At 41.9% G+C, this 19,690-nt stretch overlaps 1 protein-coding gene across 6 annotated transcripts in view, besides 2 other annotated features; it reads right to left on the bottom strand.

Annotated features, from left to right (window-relative positions):
* The window catches only part of PRKCH (protein kinase C eta), a 363,509-nt gene that overhangs the window by 181,943 nt on the left and 161,876 nt on the right, over positions 1 to 19,690 (bottom strand). The gene's annotated exons all lie outside the window — the stretch shown is intronic.
* Positions 12,424 to 13,623: an enhancer, noted in NCBI's record as "MED14-independent group 3 enhancer chr14:61822129-61823328 (GRCh37/hg19 assembly coordinates)". NCBI's record gives its function as "activates an origin of replication core promoter dependent on BRD2, BRD4, P300/CBP and CDK7 cofactors, and independent of MED14, by STARR-seq in HCT116 cells {active_cell/tissue: HCT116}" and the evidence as "EXISTENCE:reporter gene assay evidence [ECO:0000049][PMID:35650434]".
* Positions 12,849 to 13,143: an enhancer, noted in NCBI's record as "identical tiled regions #1024 and #14115; HepG2 Activating non-DNase unmatched - State 24:Quies, and K562 Activating non-DNase unmatched - State 3:PromF". NCBI's record gives its function as "activates a minimal TATA promoter and a strong SV40 promoter by Sharpr-MPRA in HepG2 and K562 cells {active_cell/tissue: HepG2 | K562}" and the evidence as "EXISTENCE:reporter gene assay evidence [ECO:0000049][PMID:27701403]".

Genomic DNA, 19,690 nt, shown 5'->3' with positions numbered 1-19,690 from the left:
AAGATCCAAGCCACATGACCAAGTACACAGCTTGGGTGTAGAATGGAAATATGAGCAGCAGGATCACTGTTTCCCAGTGCCTGGCACATATTAGACTTCCACATCTTTCTGAATAAGTAAATAATGAAAAAAATGCATGCATGAATGAACATCCTTTAAACAATTCCCCAAAAATAACAATAATTGTCAACTGCACTTTGAGTGCCTATAATTAAATGTCATTTTCAAAGGGTACAAAAATTTTAAATGATTTTAGAAGGGAAAAGTCACCATTTATAATCAAACAGCTTTCTACTTCAAATTCAAAAAATAAAATAAAATTTGCAAAAACATTCCAACTTTCACAGCACATTCCAACCAGCAGCCCACTTTAGCTCCGCAGTCTGTAAGAGAGGAGGTGATCAGTGCCAGCTCTGTTTTCACTGATGGGAAATATCTACAGGAGGATCACTCATGTGGCCTAAGGCACACAGCATGAAGTCTGCTGACCCCTGGCCTACTGAGCAGCAACTCTGCAGAGCCTGTTCTGCCTGTAAAGCCTTTCCTCGCAGTTCAGTCTGGAGGAGTCTCCTTGTGTCAGGTATTAGGCAGAAGACCCGGCATGAAGCAGCCAGAGGGGAGGACATGGCAGTACAGGGCCTTTTCCCTGTCAGGAAACACACAAGGCTCAAAGGCAAGATCATCTTGGGGACACGGTTCTCTTTTTTTTTTTTCCCATGACTAGGGATAGTGAGGAAGTACTGGTAATAGCCAGAGAAGAGGTGAAGGGTAGACTGTGAGTGTCAGAAATCTACAGCAGATGTTGGAACTAGAGGCTGCTGTAAGGCAGCCCAGCAGGCAACATGGGAGGGTGAACCTTGGTTAAGGAAGGGCTTAGCAGCCGGCTGGGAATCAGAGGCTCCTCTGACTTTCTCCTTAGAAATTCCTAACTTTGCATCCCATTTCATGAGGCTCTCAGACACTTGGAAGCTCCTCCAAGGCCCTCATACTAAGATTCACCTACAGATCAAGAGCTCTCCAGGCTGGGCGCGGTGGCTCACGCCTGTAATCCCAGCACTTTGGGAGGCTAAGGCAGGCGGATCACGAGGTCAGGAGGTCGAGACCATCCTGGTTAGCAAGGTGAAACCCCGTCTCTACTAAAAATACAAAAAATTAGCCGGGCGTGGTGGTGGGCTCCTGTAGTCCCAGCTACTTGGAAGGCTGAGGCAGGAGAATGGCGTGAACCTGGGAGGCGGAGCTTGCAGTGAGCCGAGATTGCGCCACTGCACTCCAGCCTGGGTGAAAGAGCGAGACTGTTTAAAAAAAAAAAAAAAAAAAGGAGTTCTCCAGATTAAGAGCCTGGGGAGCATATTCATTGTAGTTGTTACCAAGAAAGTCACAAGCAGGACACAAATCCACTCTGGGCAGTCTCTTTCCTTCTAGAATGATTCCAGGTCACAAAACGTCCAACAGAGGCCAGAGTTAGGGGGCTGGCCCCAGCACCCATTCCTCCAACAAACATTTATTGAGCACCTACCTACTGGGTGCTGAAAATAGGGAAATCACAAGACCAGAACAGCACCAAAAGACAGCTCTTGCACTGTAACCTCACCCACAATGACCTCATCCACGGTGACCTCGGTGGCAATTACATCAGGGCTGACCTCTGACACACACACACACACACACACACATACACACACACACACGCAATACCTGAGTAGTATCATCTCATACTTGTTTTCCAGGGTTCGTGTCCTCTGAGGACATTGAGTCAGGCATTTAGATTGGGTTAGGGGCAGATGCACATCCCTTTGAGAATTACCTGCTGACTCTACCCTTTCTCTGTGATGGTAGTTCATGCTTCCTTCATCTGCCTGTCTCTCACCACTTTTCCTATTGTTCTTTAACACACTTTCTGCCTTCTCTGAGCTCTGGGTCTCCAGTCTGCCAAAGTAAGAAAAAGTCCTGCATATAACCCTTGGGTCATTGCTTCCACAAGCAATGGAATATGTAGGAAAGTGGATATATTCAGGAAAACAGACTTTCCTACTCATCGAAGTATTTGTTTTAGAAATCTCATGTTTAGTGCATCTCACTGCTATCTTAGAGAAGGGAAGAAGCCAGCAGAAGGAGCCACATCCCTAGACAGAGAGCTCCTCTCAGTGGATTTAAGGCTGGGGAGGTCCAAAGTTCTAGGGTCCAATTTTCATTACCATTATAATAAGAGCCCCCAGAGCCCTGAATGCCTTGAAGCCTCTGGCCACTGAAGCAAGCCTAAGTATACACATAAACATAAAGTACAGAGATGCTGAAGAGCCACTGGCTGTATGAAAAGGTTTCACATTAATTACAGGGCTGGCTACAAGCTTCCTTGCCTAATGAATACCACTCATTTTCCCAAAGCAATTAACAGTACAGTTGAAATGACCGACATCCATTTCCTTATACACAGGAAACCTGTGAACTCTGAGACTATCATCTCCAAAATGCTGAGTGTCAGGCTGGGTTCACCCAAAGTGGTCATCAGCCAACCTGCAACCTCCACTGAACTTCCATACGTGACAAAATATTTTCCTTCTAAGTTTGGATCTGGCTTCTTTCTAGTTTTACTTCCTTATCAATCATTATCTTTGCTCAAGGAAATAAAGAAACAGAAAAGGATGCCTGGCCATAAAAGCAATTTTCCCAAAGTAATAATGTGTCTAATTGCTTGCTTAAAATTTTTTCAGAGTCTTACAAATCTCTCCTTACTGGGAAAAAGAAGAAAGTCAAACTTCTGGCAATATGCTAATTTAAAAAATCCTACTTGGCAAACTTGAACGACAGAAATTATACCCTAGTAACCTAAATTTTCAAAGACTTTCAAAAAGTGTACGATTTTTACTGTCTACACAGTATGGAGGGACCAGGCATTATTTGCAAAGAGCTTTTCTGCAATCACTGTCTCATCTTCTGACAGTCTGGGAGGTAACACATCATCATTATGTTATACAGATTGGGAAATTGAGGCACAAGGTAAGGCATAAGTGGTAGAACAAGGCTTCAGTCATTCCCAAGTTTCAGTTCCTCTACATAAGCCTTTTCTCTTTTCTCCTTTTAAGTCTTTACACCCTTCCTTTACTGTCACAGCCTAAAATAATCTCTTTCTTCTGAACTCCTGTAGGAATTACTGCCTAAACAATGCATCTCCCCATTAGTCATGTCATGCCTTGCTATTTAAACCCTGCATGATTAGCTAACTTTTCCTGTGTTTATGTCTTGTTTCTTCAGCTAAATGTGAAGCTATCTAGGGGCAAGAATCGTATCTTCTGCCTCTTTATGTCCTCATACCACCTGGTACATAGTAGGAGGCCAGAAAATACATGATATGTTTTAACGTTTTTTCTCACCTTGGAAGACACAGATGCCTGCAGTTTAAAAAAAAATCAAATACAGAAATATACAATTCAGCATAAATCTATCGTGTCCCTCAGCACTAGAAACTGCTTAAATTTTAGATTTAAGTTCTTGCTAATAATCCATTCTCTTACCCAGTGAAATACGTGAAATACATTTTCCCTCTACACTTGTAGTCTACAGAAACTAACAAACTGAAAATGGACTTTAAATAGATTACCCAGAGCCACTAAACTAAACTGAATAGCAAACATTATGAAATGACTTTGAAAAGTGTAAATACATAAAAGTATTATTATAAGTTATATTCATTGTCAAAACTTTCCTTTAAAGAGACACAAAGTCAGACTTTTTACCACATCATAAATAAATGACAATAGAATCCCAACAGCATCTTCAGATACACTATCCTATACCTGCCCCTGCATATGGCTCAAAACATTTAGGACACACACCTATCTACTGTGTTCTCAAACACCAAAATGAAGTTTCTTATTCTACACATCCAATGCTATAATTCAGTGTGAATCTTACAAGTGGAATAAAAGTCCCATTTCTACAAAGGTTTCCCTGTGGGCTATCCTCTACCTCACTGGCCTTCACTTCCAGGCCACTTCTCTCAGCCATTCCCATGGCCACTCCCTCAAACTGCTCTACCTTGGAGACTACATCACCCTACCGCCTCCTGCCCTTCTATTACATCTGCTTTTTAACCATACAAGCCATCCAGGTCTACGAACTGCTTCCTTCTATCCTCTTAGGTCCCTCCTAGCCACACTCCTTCCTGTTCCTTATTTTTATTTTTAATTGTTTTTTGAGACAGGGTCTCACCCTGTTGCCCGAGCTGGAGCGCAATGGTGCAATCATGGCTCACTGCAGCCTGGACCTCCCTGGGCTCAGGTGATCCTCCCACTTCAGCCTCCCTAGTACCTGGGACTACAGGCACACACCACCATACCTGGCTAAGTTTTTGTACTTTTTGGTAGAGATGGGGTTTCACCATGTTGCCCAGGCTGGTCTCTCGAACTCCTGAGGCTCCAGCAATTCACCAGCCACAGCCTCCCAAAGTGCTAGGATTACAGGTGTGAACCACCACACCTGGCCATTCCTATTCTTAAAAGCACCCCCTGCAAACACATACACACGTCCTCACACCTTCTTTCTGCCACATCTGACTGGTAAAAATCCACCCTGGACCAGTCTCAGTATCTGCTGCCTCTGACACACAGGCTGGGGAGCCACACACACTTGGGCCACTGTAAATTCAGTTTCTAATCTCAGCTGAGCCTCAGCATCTCTTCACACTTCTTTTACTTTTCCTCAATCATCTCATCTCCCATTTCCTTCAGTGACTGGGATATTCCAAACAGTCTCCATTCTCTTCAAGTTCCCAATCCCATTCTATCTTGCCTGCTACTTCATCAAATACTAAGGGTGACTTGGGTTAGCTATCTCAGCTATAAATCTCCTAAAAGTGTCTCCAGGCCAGGCATGGTAGTTCACACCTATAATCCCAGCACTTTGGGAGGCCAAGGCAGGAGGATCGCCTGAGGCCAGGAGTTCAAAACCAGCCTGGGCAATTTATTTATATATATACACACAAATATATATATATATATTATATATATACAAATATATATATACACACAAATATATATATACACACACACATATACACACACATGCACACGTATATATATAAAATTTTATATATTTACATATTTTTACATATATATGTAAAAAATTTTTATTAAAAATAAAACTGTCCCCTGCCCCAGCTTCTGTGACACCACAGATTCTACCTCCAGACCCATTCTTCTGAGTCTTTTCTAGAAATTTCCTCTTCCCTCCATCCCTCCACTTCTGTCTGGTGTTCCCTTGGACTCCATCCCCTGCCCGTTGCCTTCTTCATCCTCAGAGTTCTCTTTGGGCACCAACCTACTCACATGGCTCTAACTACCACCTCTAGGTGATGGCTCCCAGATTCCCATCTCCAGACGCCATCTTCCCAGAGCGTCAGACTCACATTCAATTGCCAGATGGACACTTTTTAAAATCAGTATATTACCTTGGCCCCTACATACCCATTCTTCCTCCTATATTCCCCAGGTTCAAAATGGCCACCAGAACTTCAAGTGTCATTCTGGTCTCTTCCATCTCATCCACTCCCCGTAGCCAGTTGATCAAAATTGTATCAACTCCAAATCTTGTGTACTTCTCAAACCCATCTTCTCCTCTCCAGCCCTGACTTTCACTGCTTTCTTACACATATTCATCATCTCACATTGAGCCTATCATGATCGGTTCCTGCTATCCAGCCACAAATCTATGACTCAATGAGCTGCCATAGCAAACCAGGAAAATCTGGCCATTTACACCCCTGCTTAAAATTTTTCAACAGTTCCCCATCAGCTAGAAGCATATGCTCTAAGCCTTCATAGAGTATACTTGGCTTTTCATGGCTGGGCCCCCAACTACCCCTTTATAGTCCTTGATTCCCACCCTTATGCTTTATATGCTATTGACATGGAAAGGCTTGCCCTTGCAAGCATACACAGACTGTTTAATGCACTGACACTCATGCTGTTCCCTTAGCCTACAATGCCTTCCTCCTTCTCTCTCACCCGTTCATCATCTAAGTCCTACCCATTGTTCAAGACTCCGTCTAGGCGACTTCTCCAGGAAGTCTTGCCCTAACCTCCCTTCTTCTCACATGAGGGAAGAGGCTGTTTTCTATGATCTCCCAGCTCCCTGTTCAACACCAATCATTTGATACTGGTATCCCCTGTGCCAATGTCCACATCCCCTTCAGGATAACCTCATCTCCAAGACAGATGCCATCCCTGACTTGTCTTTGTACCTCTGGGGATTAACCCAGCCTCAGATGCAAAGAGGGTCATCGACACATTATGGAGCTTCAACAGAACAAGCATCTTCAGGAGTGCTGGCCTGAGCAATATAGGCATTAGGGAAAAGGGAACCTTCATTTCCTTTCCTTATGATCACTGCATAGTATCCTAGAGAGGAACATTTGATTACTCCACCTCTTCTGTGTCAGTCACATGAAACTCAACTTTTACAAATATGTAATAATGTATGTGAACAGTCAAAACTGAGTGGTCTAGCCTCAAAAACTCTCTGGATGATGGATTTGTTATTACTCAGACTGCACTGTAATCAGTAAATAACATTACTCAAAATAGCAAAACATTCAAATAATCAAGGGTTTTGCTGTTTGCCAATAAATAATCCTTTGAATTTCCTAGTCTCCCCATTTCCCTTGGCCCCTTGTTTCCTTTTTTTTTTTTTTTTTTTAAGACAAGATGCCACTCTGTCGCCCAGTCTGGAATGCAGTGATGTAATCTTGGCTCACTGTAACCTCGAATTCCTGGGCTCAAAGCTATCCTCCCTCTTCTGCCTCCCAAGTAGCTGGGACTACAGGTACATAGCACCACACTTAGCTATTTTTTTAACATAAAAACATAGAGATGAAATATCGCTATGATGACCAGGGTGGTCTCAGACTCCTGAGCTCAAGCAATCCTCCCGCTTCAGCCTCCCGAAGTGTTTGGATTACAGGCATGGGCCACTGCACTCAGCTTGTTTCCTTTTAGATAATACAGCAATTAGTCTTAAAAAGGAATTTGCTATTAAAACAGATCTTTTTTATCAGATTTAATTTTTTTATTAATTTCCTAAGAGCACAGACTCTGAGATTATCTCACTGATTTTACCAAGAGCCCTTCCTCCTTATAGTTTGATAACACTAAGTAGATATGCATGGTAAAACTTAAATAAACCAAATGTAATCATAAATAAGATTAAGGAATATGGCATGTTTATTAATTTTTAAAGATCTTTCTGAAAATGAGTCAGCTTACCTTCCTTTTTTTATTCCACACAAAGAAATTGTCCCCTTGCCTGTAAGGTAAGCATTATTATTCCCATTTTACTGGTTAAGAAATTAACATTCAGAAGTTTAAACAATTTGTCCAAGCGTCAGGCATGGATTTCTATTCCCAGTCTATCTGATCCCAAGCCCATGTTCCTATCTACCTATACTGCCTCTTCTCAAAAGAGGACAATAAAGGCTATAAAATGAGCCTTATTGTAACTAAACAGAGAGTTGAAAGTTTCAGAAAGACCATGAACAAAGTTCACAAACAATTAACTCTCTGAAATTCTAATGCTTCATTGGTAAATAAAAGGTTTCACTAGCAAAATAAACTTGTAATGTTGGTTAGAAAGCTGCTCTGCCTACACTCTAACAACACTGTGATAATTACCTATGATAAACACCCTTTGTTCTTAAGTCTCTCACAAACCTTGCCACACTATACCCCAACTTACAGCTCCTCTATTCTGTTCCTCAGTAAGGGGACACCGCATGCAGAAGAGTAACAGGATGGTGAAAAAACAAGATTCACACCCTCCACCCTCATCCTCACATCTCTTCTCTCAGAAAAGGTTAATATATTAGAACTTACTCAGGCACTGATCTGAACAAGGTTGAGGGAAGAACCCACTGATGTGAAATCAAACAGCTCTCCATAATCCAAAAAATATCCCACCTGCTGCAGCCTCTGAACTGAGTTCCCGAAGCCACCCAGGTGGGAGTCACCTGTGGTCCACTGGGGTTGTCAATCATGGAATGACTCACACCCTACTTTCCGTGCGTAGCTACTGTAGGTAACTTGAACAGTGTATGTGAGAGGGACTGCAGAAGTCCATCACCCCTGACCTGAACGATCCTTCCAGTCTCTCCCACCATCTAGGGTACTGGTATCCAAGTGTAAAAAGCAGCTGGTCCATGATGAAAGATTCTGGTGAGTTCCATGGTATTACCAGATAGCTAGAACTTCCTAGCATGGTTAACAGCTGAACTAAACCTCTGTTTACTTCTTCAACTTCTCAGGCTCCTGGAAGCCAAGTGGGTTGGGTAACTGGGGAGGAAAATAAAGAAAAGTAGAAGATCCTGCCTTTCTTTCAATTTTAACTTTTTGAAGTGTTTTTATATTATCCAACGATACAAATCATTTGTTATCCTTTCATCCAAAGAAAACACACATGGCTTTAAGAAATGTAAATATTTAGTTCCAGGATACGTTTTAGCCTCTTCGAGTTTTTCTTTTTTCTTTTTTCTTTTTTTTTGAGATGGAGTCTCACTCTGACACCCAGGCTGGAGTGCAGTGGCGCGACTTCGGCTCCCTGCAACCTCCGCCTCCCATGTTCAAATGATTCTCATGGCTCAGCCTCCCGAGTAGCTGGGATTACAGGCGCCCACCACCATGCCCGTCTAATTTTTATATTTTTAGTAGAGACAGCATTTCACCATGTTGGCCAGGCTGGTCTTGATCTCCTGACCTCAAGTGATCCACCTGCCTTGGCCTCCCAAAGTGCTGGGATCATGGGCGTGAGCCACTGCACCCAACCTCTTCGAGTTTTTATAATGATGTGGTGCAGAGAAAAATAATTCCATTTACTCACGACATATTCCTCTCTTCCCCTTTGAGTTGTATAAGAAAACATTTCCAGACAGACAATATAACATTTGGTGTTTGAATGCTATTGTCGCTAAAGATACAGGCATGCTCTAATGATAAGATGAGAGAATGCCACATACGCTATATAAAATGGTAAGTAAGTATCTGGTGTTCCCAGTAAGAATTACTTCACAGCTCTGTAAAACTCTGTCTGTGGTAAGGTGGCTTTGATATTATCCATCAGGACTTCTACATCCTAAAACAGCATTGTCCAGTAGAATAATGTGCAATAATAGAAATGTTCTATATATGGTAGGTAGCCACTAGTCATCAGTTACATGTGGCTAATATAATTGATGAACTTAATTTTTTCCACTTCATTTTATTTTAATTCAATTTAAACTTAAATAGCCACATATGGCTAGTGGCCACCATATTGGGCAGCACAGTTCTAAAATGTCCCGAGCTTTTCAGTGTTCAGCCATCACTCTTTTAAAATAGAAAATTAGGATACAGGCAGCCTCTAAAGTAGGTCAGTCTAGTTTACATCTCAAAGAAGTTCTCTCTCAGAGTATACAAGAAGTTCCCTATCTCCAGATCGATGGAAAATAGTTCCATGGTGGTATGACACTCCTCAGAAAAACTTACACCTGCAGTATCTCCCAACAGGGAAGTGCTTATGCAAATAGAAAGTGTTAACATTACCATAAGTTCTAAAATATGAAAATGTTCTCTGGGAAAAATAACTTAAAAATGAGGCCTGCAATGTGAAATATTTTATTTTTCACAGCAATCATTTTCAGACACACTCTGACACTTCAGAGTTGACAGCCTCACTCCAGCATGTAGAACTAGGAACTCAGTGGGAAGGATATTAGGGTGTCTACTTCAGGGGTGGCTGCTCCAGCCATGGCTTGAACCTCTGATACGCAGCACTGCCCCAGAGCATTGTGGTCCACAGAAACAGGAAACCAGGGTCATCCAGAGGTCTACTGGTTCTTGAATTCAGTTATTCAATGAACAAACATTTCATGAGCACTTACTACATGTCAAGCATCCAGCTAGGCACAAAAATATGAGGTGGAATGACACATGGTTTCTGCCCTTCAGGACTGAGGCTGGGAGGAAAGACACATAAATAGATTATGATCCAACGTGGTAAGTGCATCATGGGCACAGAGAATGACAGGACTCTATGGAAGATTACCTAACTTATCCTGGAAGGGTCAGAGAAGGCTTCCTGGAGGAGGTGATAGCTGAGCTGAGTCCTCAGGATGAGGAGTTACTAAGTCAAAAGCAGGGAAGGGAGCATTCCAAGCAGTGTCGCTAACAAAGGTGGGAAAGAGCCTAAAGAGCAGGGCCTGCACAGGGAACACAGCAAGACTGTGTTGCTCAAGGATGAAGCCGGAATCAGGAAGTGGTAAAAGGGAGGCTAGAATGCCACCAAGGGCCAGGAGGACACCCAGGAATACCATGCTAAGGAGATTGGCCTTTGATTTGCATATAATGGAGCATCACAAGAGGGCTTCAACCAGGGTGGAAACCCTGTTAGACACAGAGAGGCAGCCTGGTAACACACTGGAGGGAGGATCACAGGAACATAAAGGAGGCAGGAGGCTGTGGCTTCATCTTGGAAAGTAAGGATAAAGGCCTCACACAGGTAGTGGTAATGGGAATCAAGAGAAAGGAAAACTCAGAAATGTCCAGAAGGAAGAAGTAAACAGTGATTAGAAATCAGCCACACTGGGTAACTGGCTATGTATGGAAGCTAAAGAAAACAGGCATTAAGGAGCTAAAGGAAAATGGCATTAGAGATGACTCCCAGGTTTCTGGCTTGGATGTCTCCGTGGATGAGGGAAACTGAAAGAGAACAGCAGCAGCTAACATTTATTCCAGTCTTATTCTGAGCCAGGCACTGTACAAATGCATTACAATCTACCTCATAAGAATTTCTGAGATGGATAGTATTTTTATCCCCATTTTAAAAAGAAAGACACTGAGGGTCAGGGAATTAAGTGACTTGTTCAAGCTCAAACATCCAGGAAGTATCAGAGCCCCAATTCAAATCCAAATCTGATTCCAGAGCCCCAATCTTAACCACCATATATAATATGGTCTCTAAATTCAGAAAAGAAGGGGAGGTTTAGGAGAAATGGTCATGCATTCAGCTCCTGGAAAATTTAAGGAGGCTTTCAGATACTCACATGACAACCAGCAGAATCTGGTCACCAGGCAGTGCAAGGCAGAGACATGGGAATCACTGGCACACAGAGAGTGAAAACCTAGAGAGCAGATGAAGTCCCAAGGCCAGAGTATATATGAGGAGAGAAAAGCAACACTCCCAGAACTAAACTCCAACAGTAACAGGTGGGCAAAGGAAGAGAAGCCCACCAAGGAGATACAAGACATAGAGGCAGCAAGAGAACAGAAGCATGGACGGTTGCAGAAGCTAAAAACTCTTCTAGAGAAGAGAGTGGATGTGTTGGGTTAAATACAAGAAGAAGCTCCAGAAAGATAAGGACTATAGCGTGTCCACTGGAGTTGACAAATAGGTAAGTCATTAGTAGGTACGAGAAGCACAAAAATGGAAAACGCAGAGAACATTTGACAGCCAAGGAGAAAGAGACAGTAACACATTGGAGGGAGAAACAGACAGTAAATAAATGTGGCTGAAAATTAGAAAGAGAGGGAGGGACAATGACTAACAGAGCAAGGCCTAGGAGGATGCAGGAGCAGATGGGATACCCCTGGAGAAAACCAGATGAAGATAACTGTGACTACACATAAGTTTGCAGGCATCAGGACAGGAAATGGAGGAGCTCATTCTAAGAAGTTTCAAGTTGCTTAGTAAAGTCAGATACAAAGTCATATGTTAAAAGAGTGAGGCGGGTGGAGAGGCCTTAAGAAGAACAGTAACTGCATGGAGTAATCGTTAAATAGCATGGGAGAAACGGGCAGCACCAACCTGCCCAGTATAGCTTGGAAGTTCACGCACAGGTGTGAAGAAGGCAGTCCTGGAGGGTTGCTGACCAAAGATGGCAGATGTGCAGATATGCCATAGAATTGGGAGTACTGACCAGTGTTCCGATGACTTGCCATTCTCTAGAAAGTGAACTCACCACTGGTTGTCCACTGAAGTCTTTATTTTACTCTTGGGAGGGTTCTAGCCATAGTAAGAAAGAACTAAATAAGGCCAGGTGTGGTGGCTCATGCCTATAATCCCAGCACTTTGGGAGGCTGAGGCGGGCAGATCACCTGAAGTCAGGAGTTCGAGACAAGCCTGGCCAACATGGCGAAACCCTGTCTCAACTAAAAATACAAAAATTAGCCAGGCGTGGTGGTAGGTGCCTGTCATCCCACCTACTTGGGAGGCTGAGGCAGGAGAATCGTTTGAACCTGGGAGGCAGAGGTTTCAGTGAGCTGAGATCATGCCACCACACTCCAGCCTGGGTGACAGAAGGAGACTCCATCTCAAAAACAAAACAAAACAAAATTTCCTATAAGAAAGAACTAAACTAAACTCTTTTTCCCCCCAAGATCTCCCAAGACAACACTTAATAAATTATCAAAATAACACTACTGCTGCAGTTCAATCCCTTGACTCTTACTACTTAAGCCAATAAACTGAGACAAAAATCAACTGACACTCAAAATATGCCATTGTCAAAGCCAGAGATAGCCCGGAAAAATATGTCGGTCTGTTGGCTCTCAGATTTCACAGAAATTTGGCATAGGAGAATCCCAGTTCTTAAAATGATACTAGGATTCTAACCGATAGAGTCCAGGGCTAAGCACGAAAGAAATATCAGATCACAAACCATCTGGATTACGAAGGAGCACAAGGATAAAATGGGTACAAGCTCCCCTCCTTGGCAACACAGCACAGGACATCCACTTTGGACAGCAACAATAGAAGTACATGATTCCAATTCCTCCCAACCCCCAAACAACCCACTGCACTCGACCAGGCAGCCTGCAAAACAATGGAAATGTAAGGTCACCCTCCTGTTCCCTGCCACCCCCCTCCACTTCCTCTTTCACCCTGGATGAGTTGTCATCTTTCCATGAAAGAATGCCAAGCGCTCAGTCAGTCTGACAGGCAGTTCCTGCTCTTCCGGTTCTCTGGATGCTTCAAAGGGGTGGCGATGTGTTACCAGAAAGACTACCCTCCTCGGCAGGCTGTTTTCCAGGCTTCCACCCCTGGTGAGTCACTTGCCAGTTTCTACCAAGTATAAGAAGATCTATCATGGAAAGAGACTTCTCTTGAGTCTCACGGGCCTGACGTTGCTGCCTCTCTTGCAAGTGACACTTCTAAATTCAGACTGAACTATACAGGTGTTTTGGTGGAGATCTTCCAGACTGGCTAGAATGTGTAAGTGGCAAAAAATTAAATCACAACGTAGCAATACTAACAAAGTTGGCCCTGAATAGTAACATTCCAAGAAATGAATTCAGAAGCCACCCGTGAAGCAACCAATAAAGTCAGGGCAATACTAATCAAGAAATTTCCATGTTGAATATGAGACTATAAAATCTTCCCTTAAAATTATTTAGTGTATATTTTTAGTAAAAAGGTAAGAAGATAAATTTTGGTCAAATTACTTAAAATATTTATTTGATGATCATCCTTTAAAAAAAAATCCTCCATTTGACCCAAGGGATACACTAAAATATAAGAAAGTGGATCTTTTAAAGTCTCCTACCAAAAGATCACACTATCCCTTCCCTCAAGGAGCTAACAGTTTTTAAAAGGTCATAAACAGCAGAATAGGTACAGCTATCAGATAAGACCAGGAAAAAGGGGATGCTGAAGAAACAGGATTTTTAATAATAAGAAAAAAAAAACAAAGATAACCAACATGTCAAAAAGAAGTGAAAAAGGTGAATGATAATGGTGTTCAGTGCAATGAGAAATAAAGTAGGATTTGCATAGAAAAGCAACAGTTTTAGCAGAAAATAAGACAAGCCCATTTCTGCTGCAGAGTATGGGCAAAAGTAAGACATTAAATGACTTGCTGGAATTGAATCCTCTTCCAAGGGATTCACTGTAAAGGAGGAAAAGATAATAGCTAGGAAAAGGTTTATTTTCTATTTTCTATAAAGCACTTACACATCATCGAAATTATCCATTGAATCCATTTTTCAGTTCTAATCTAAATTTCTCAAGGCAAGAATCATATTCAAATATTTGTTCATCTAATTCATTTATGCAAGTACTCATTTGAATTTCTGTGCCTGGTATATGCCAGACATAATGTCCCAGGTACTGAGGGTACCAAGGAAAATAAATCAGACATAAAACCTGTTCTCAGAGTTTACTGTTTAATAGTCTAATGAGGAAGGCAAAAATGAAGTAATCTTAGTTATTCTGAGATGTACACAATATAACTGTGACTAAATGAGAAGAAAAAGTACAGAAAAGCCTAAAATACTCTGGGGAATACATAAAGGCCTCATTGGCAAAGTGGGATTTAAATGGAGAATTCGTCAGGTGAAGGGAGAGGGAGGAAGAGAGTCCAGGAAATGGAGACAGCTTGTGCACAGGTTCTAAAATTCATCTCTGTATCTCCAGGGCCCTGTACACAGTAGATGCTGAATAAATGCTTATAGAATAAACTTTAAGTTCCTCACGCATTCAGAAAAAAATATTCCCTAAGAAAACAACCCCTAAATATAGGGGGAAAAAAAGGAAAAGAAAAAGAAACAGCTATAGGTACGGAAGTGTTATTTGTAACACACACACACACACACACACACACACACACACAAATAGAAACAGCAATAAGAAGATGGTAAATTATGTAAACCAGTGACTGAAATATTATGCAGCTATTATAAGCAACATGGGAACTGCAATTATACAATTAAGTGGGAAAAGGCAACAAATGAGTATATTAGGATTAGAAATATGGAAAAGTGTGAAAATTAAGAATAATATAGATCATTTTATATTGACTGATAAAATTAAATGGTCAAATGCCAACCATCTCATCTATATTCCATATATGAAATTCCAAGTATCTTCTGTTTGGAAGCAATTGTTCCAGTCAATTTTCAGACAAAGCCCATTAAGACCAACCATTCATTTTGGTCCCCTTAGGAATTGCAATGTTACTTCAAAAACACGTTAAATTATTGTATAGCCTTACATCTTTATAAAGTGATCTCCCATACATTATATTTTGGTTATCATCATTTGCTTCATCCATGTGATTCTTCTTATTATTATTTTTTCAGAGGTAGGGTCTCACTCTGTTGCTCCTGCTGGAGTGTAGCGGTGCAATCATAGCCCACTGTAACCATAAACTCCTGGGCTCAAGCAGTCCTCCTGTCTCAGTGTCCCATGTAGCTAGGACCACAGTCATGTGCCACCATGCCTGGCTAATTTATATTTTTATTTTTTTTGTAGCGATGGGGTCTTGCTATGTTGTCCATGCTGGTCCCAAACTCCTGGCCTCATGTGATCCTCCCACCTCAGCCTCCCAAAGTGCTGGGGTTACAGGTATGAGCCACCATGCCCAGCCTGATTCTCATTATTTAATAGGTCAGTATAATGTGCTACATAAAGCATCCAGGAGGAAGTGGCTCCTGATTTCCCACAGGGTACTCCAAGGGCCTTATTTTTATCCACTGACATTTTAATTACGATCACATATTCCTTTTCGTTTTTCCCAATACTATCACCTACAAAAAATTTTAAGTGTGTATGAAATATAATCACATTACAAAAGTTTGAAAAATTGAGAAAACAAGTCTTAGTTGTCCTAATATAAATAAGTCTCAAACAGCTACAGATTGGTTAAATGTTTCCAGCTACTTTATGTAAATCTTTATATCTCATAAGTATCTTTAATCATTTTTTCTGATTATAAAATTATACATGCTTACTAGTAAAGAATATAACTTGGGAAATGAAAGTCCCCCATAATTCCACCCTACTTCTCCACTCAAGAAAAGTATTGCTAAGTGCTCGATGCTTCATTTTCCAGATTTTTCCCCACTTTGGCTATACAGGTCCACCACGATCTCTTATCTACAATCCCAATATTCAAAAAGTTTCAAAACCCAAACAAATTTTGTAACATTTGTTGTCAAAATCTTACCTGAACTGACATAAGGCAATGTGTAATCTTTATTTACCCCACTTAGTGTGAATATCCATGTTTTGCCACAGAAGTATTAATGTTTTTGATTACAGATGCCACCCCAGCCCCCACTGGAGGTGTTATTTAATAGTAAATGTATTTAATACATTGTCCTATGTAAAACTGAAAAAATCCTGAATTCAGAAACACATCTGACTTAAACTGCTTCAAATTAACGATGCAGGCCTATACTGATACTATTATCATTCTCATTTCAGAAATAGGTCATACCAGGCATGCCTCTCTGTTAGTATATTTTTTCACTCAACAATATATCTAGGACATCTTTCTTTCTTTCTTTCTTTCTTTCTTTCTTTCTTTCTTTCTTTCTTTCTTTCCTTTCCTTTCTCTCTCTCTCTCTCTCTCTCTTTCTTTCTTTCTTTCTTTTGAGATGGAGTCTCGCTCTGTCAATCTCAGCTCACTACAACCTCCACCTCCCAGGTTCAAGCAATTCTCCTGTCTCAGCTTCCCGAGTAGCTGGGACTACAAGTGCACACCACCACGCCCAGCTAATTTTTTGTATTTTTAGTAGAGACAGGGTTTCACCATATTGGTCAGGCTGGTCTTGAACCCCTGCCCTCAAATGATCCATCTGCCTCGGCCTCCCAAAGTGCTGGGATCACAGGCATGAGCCACCACGCCCGGCCTATATCTGGGACATCTTTCTGCATCAATTCACTGTGTTCTTTAACAGCCATGTGGATGTGGGTGGGACCAGAAGAATGAGAACAAACCTGATTTTAAGGAAAGGATAAATAAGGGAAATAGTTCAAAAAGCAGACCTACAGAAATTATTAGGGAGGAAACCTACAAGAGTAGAGATCACAGAATTCAGAGGTGGAAAAGACCTTGGTGATTAATGGCCTGATTCTTTTGTCAAAAGATGATCCCATTGGATGACTTCCTTGAGTTCATACAGCAGTTAGCAGCTGACCTGGGACTAGAACCCAGGGGTTCAAGTTGCCACCCCTTTGTGCTGTTACTCTTGAGATTCCACACTCCTGATGGTGAGGGCCACCCAGGTTGACCGTGAAAAACGTGAAAGCAACTTCTCCGTTAGGGAGCACAGATGCTTCCCAGGGTTAATCTGAGTTGTTAATATAAAAGTCTGTTCACCTAGCCTTGTAAGTGGCAGCCTTCAAAGTTAATAGCAGCATTTTATAGTTTTATAGTCAAGCAGAAAGAGATGCAAGGAGCCATTGCCAATTACTAAGAATTGAAGTTGGATGTTCAAATTTGGGTCACTTTTTCCTCAACAGAAGCCACAGCATGCCAAGTGCATGTCACTATCCTGACTAATCTTGTCTTTTTGGGTCCCAAAGAGCTAAACCTACAATTGAAGAGAATATGACACTATGATACCAACTGGAAAACCACCAACACCCAACATGCGTCCTCCAGAATCTCTCGAATCGTCACTGTGCCTCCGAACACCACTTAGTTCCCTCAAATATGTCCTTCTAACAAGCAGGCGTGCTTTCGTGTATTTAGAACAAATCTTAAATGTACACATGCATCCAAATCTTAAAATTCAGAATAAAGAAAAGCAGAGAAGGACAGAAGAAAGACTAATGCTACCAAAAATCAGTCTGCCTTTTCCTGCCTGCCTCCTTGACATGCCACCACCTAACACCACCACCTGCACTCCTCGCCCATCTCTCAGGCTCCAGGAAGGGTGGCAGAATGCAACTCTGCAGGACCTTAGCTGGAAGCGCCATCTGGGAGAAGGAAGACTTATAAACATGTTCTTCCAGAAGCCTGTGTCCTCCATCCCCTCACAAAGACAGCAGAAATAAATCACAACGATGTGGTTCTGCATCAGCACACCTGATGCTATGGCCCAATCAACTATTTTTGGGAATCAATAGCTCTCTTAAAGCTTTTTAGTAGAGTATCTTTTTATGAAACTTCTGCAATTTCCTAAATCAGTTCTACTTAACGTTATATGAAATGATTGATAGATTAAAAATACATGTACCCATGTATCCTGGGACCCTAATATGCAAAGTAAAGTAAGTGGTGCTTCATCAAAAGGATGCCATAAAGAGGAAGCAGCCGAACTACTTGTTTCCTTGATTGAGGCCACTTAAGACAAACTGGCACTTACAAGGAGAGTCAAAATAACCTACAATCCCTCTACAGAAATGTTTGCCAACCATGGATATTAAAGGGCCAATCTCTGAGCACTGTAAGATCTATAACAGCAAAGTTATTGGGGACTTTTTATTATTAGTCTGGGTTAGATGAGGGTCTAAGCTAAGAGAAGGCCTTTTAAGGGGTTGGCACAGTAAACATCTACATGCACCGATCCTGCCCCCAGGGATGCTGGGTAAAGCGTTGTAAAGCACTCGAGCTTCCTGGAATAGACAGACAAAAAAGTGTTATGACCCCTCCATGGGGGAGGGGGGATATTCTTTCAGTGACTTTAAGAGGCAAGGGATGCTGGTGAAGAGGTGAGAAGAGAGTCTCTGTTGTAATTTCTAGCCTCAGTTTCAGAAATGATTCTGAGAAGCAATGAGGTGTTTTAGTCTCTAGAGGAGTATGGAGCAAGCAGACAAGGTGTAAACACTGACCTTACAGAAGAAAAGTAATTCTTATTTTCTATAAAAGCCCATAGATCTAAATATCTGTCAGTTCTCTTCTCTATGTTTTGTATACTGTTTGTATACAAAGAAACAGGCGGGGCAAGGGCACATGCTAGTGTTCCTCTGGGGCCCAGCAGTCAACAGGCTTTGGACAGGTAACTAACAAGCAAGCGTGCTTTCAAGTATTTAGAACAAATCTTAAATGTACACATGCATCCAAATCCTGAAATTCCGGAGAGGGGAGGAGACGTGGAGGAAAGGTGAGAGAGAAAGACAATACAATGGGGGCAAATATAAAAGCAAGAGACAGCATATAAAGCACTATATAAATGATGGTTATTTTCCCAGCTCCACATTCCTGTAGCACCTTCCATAAACCTTCTTTGGGGCATTTAAAACATACTCTTGTCATATTTCTCTGTATGGCTGCCTCATTCACCTATATATCCAAGTTATGCCAAGCACAGTGCTGGCATAACTTGTCATTGAGTGCTTGCTAAATACAGCTTTTGTAAAACAACCATGAACATAAGAGTGAACACAGACTTGGACATACCAGCATTTCTTTTTTTTTTATTTTCTGAGATGGAGTCTCGTTCTGTTGCCCAGGCTGGAGGGCAGTGGCATGATCTCAGCTTACTGCAGCCTCCGCCTCCCAGGTTCAAGCAATTATCCTGCCTCAGCCTCCTGAGTAGCTGGGATTACAGGTGTACACTTCCATGCCCGGCTAATTTTTGTATTTTTAGTAGAGACAGGGTTTCACCATGTTGGCCAGGCTGGTCTCGAACTCCTGACCTTGTAATCCACCCACCTCGGCCTCCCAAAGTTCTGGGATTACAGGTGTGAGCAACCTCGAACAGCATTTCTAAGGTGACAAGCATTCCTCCCCATTTCCTACCAAAAGAGTCAAAAAGGTGTCATCTGGCATGCCCTGCAGACAGCAGCTGTACCCCTAGCACCAAAGAACTGGGTTTGAACTCAGACTCTTCCTTTCCCTTTTATTGGTTGTATGTTCCTAGAAATTATCTAATCTCTCAGAACCTTGATTTCCTCATCTGTAAAATGGGGCACAATATCTACCTCAACAGGACTGATGGAA

Source organism: Homo sapiens, chromosome 14, assembly GCF_000001405.40.
Source record: "Homo sapiens chromosome 14, GRCh38.p14 Primary Assembly".
Lineage (NCBI taxonomy): Eukaryota > Metazoa > Chordata > Mammalia > Primates > Hominidae > Homo > Homo sapiens.
The sequence above is the reverse complement of the archived record's forward strand: the minus strand, read 5'-3'. Positions and strand labels throughout refer to the sequence as shown.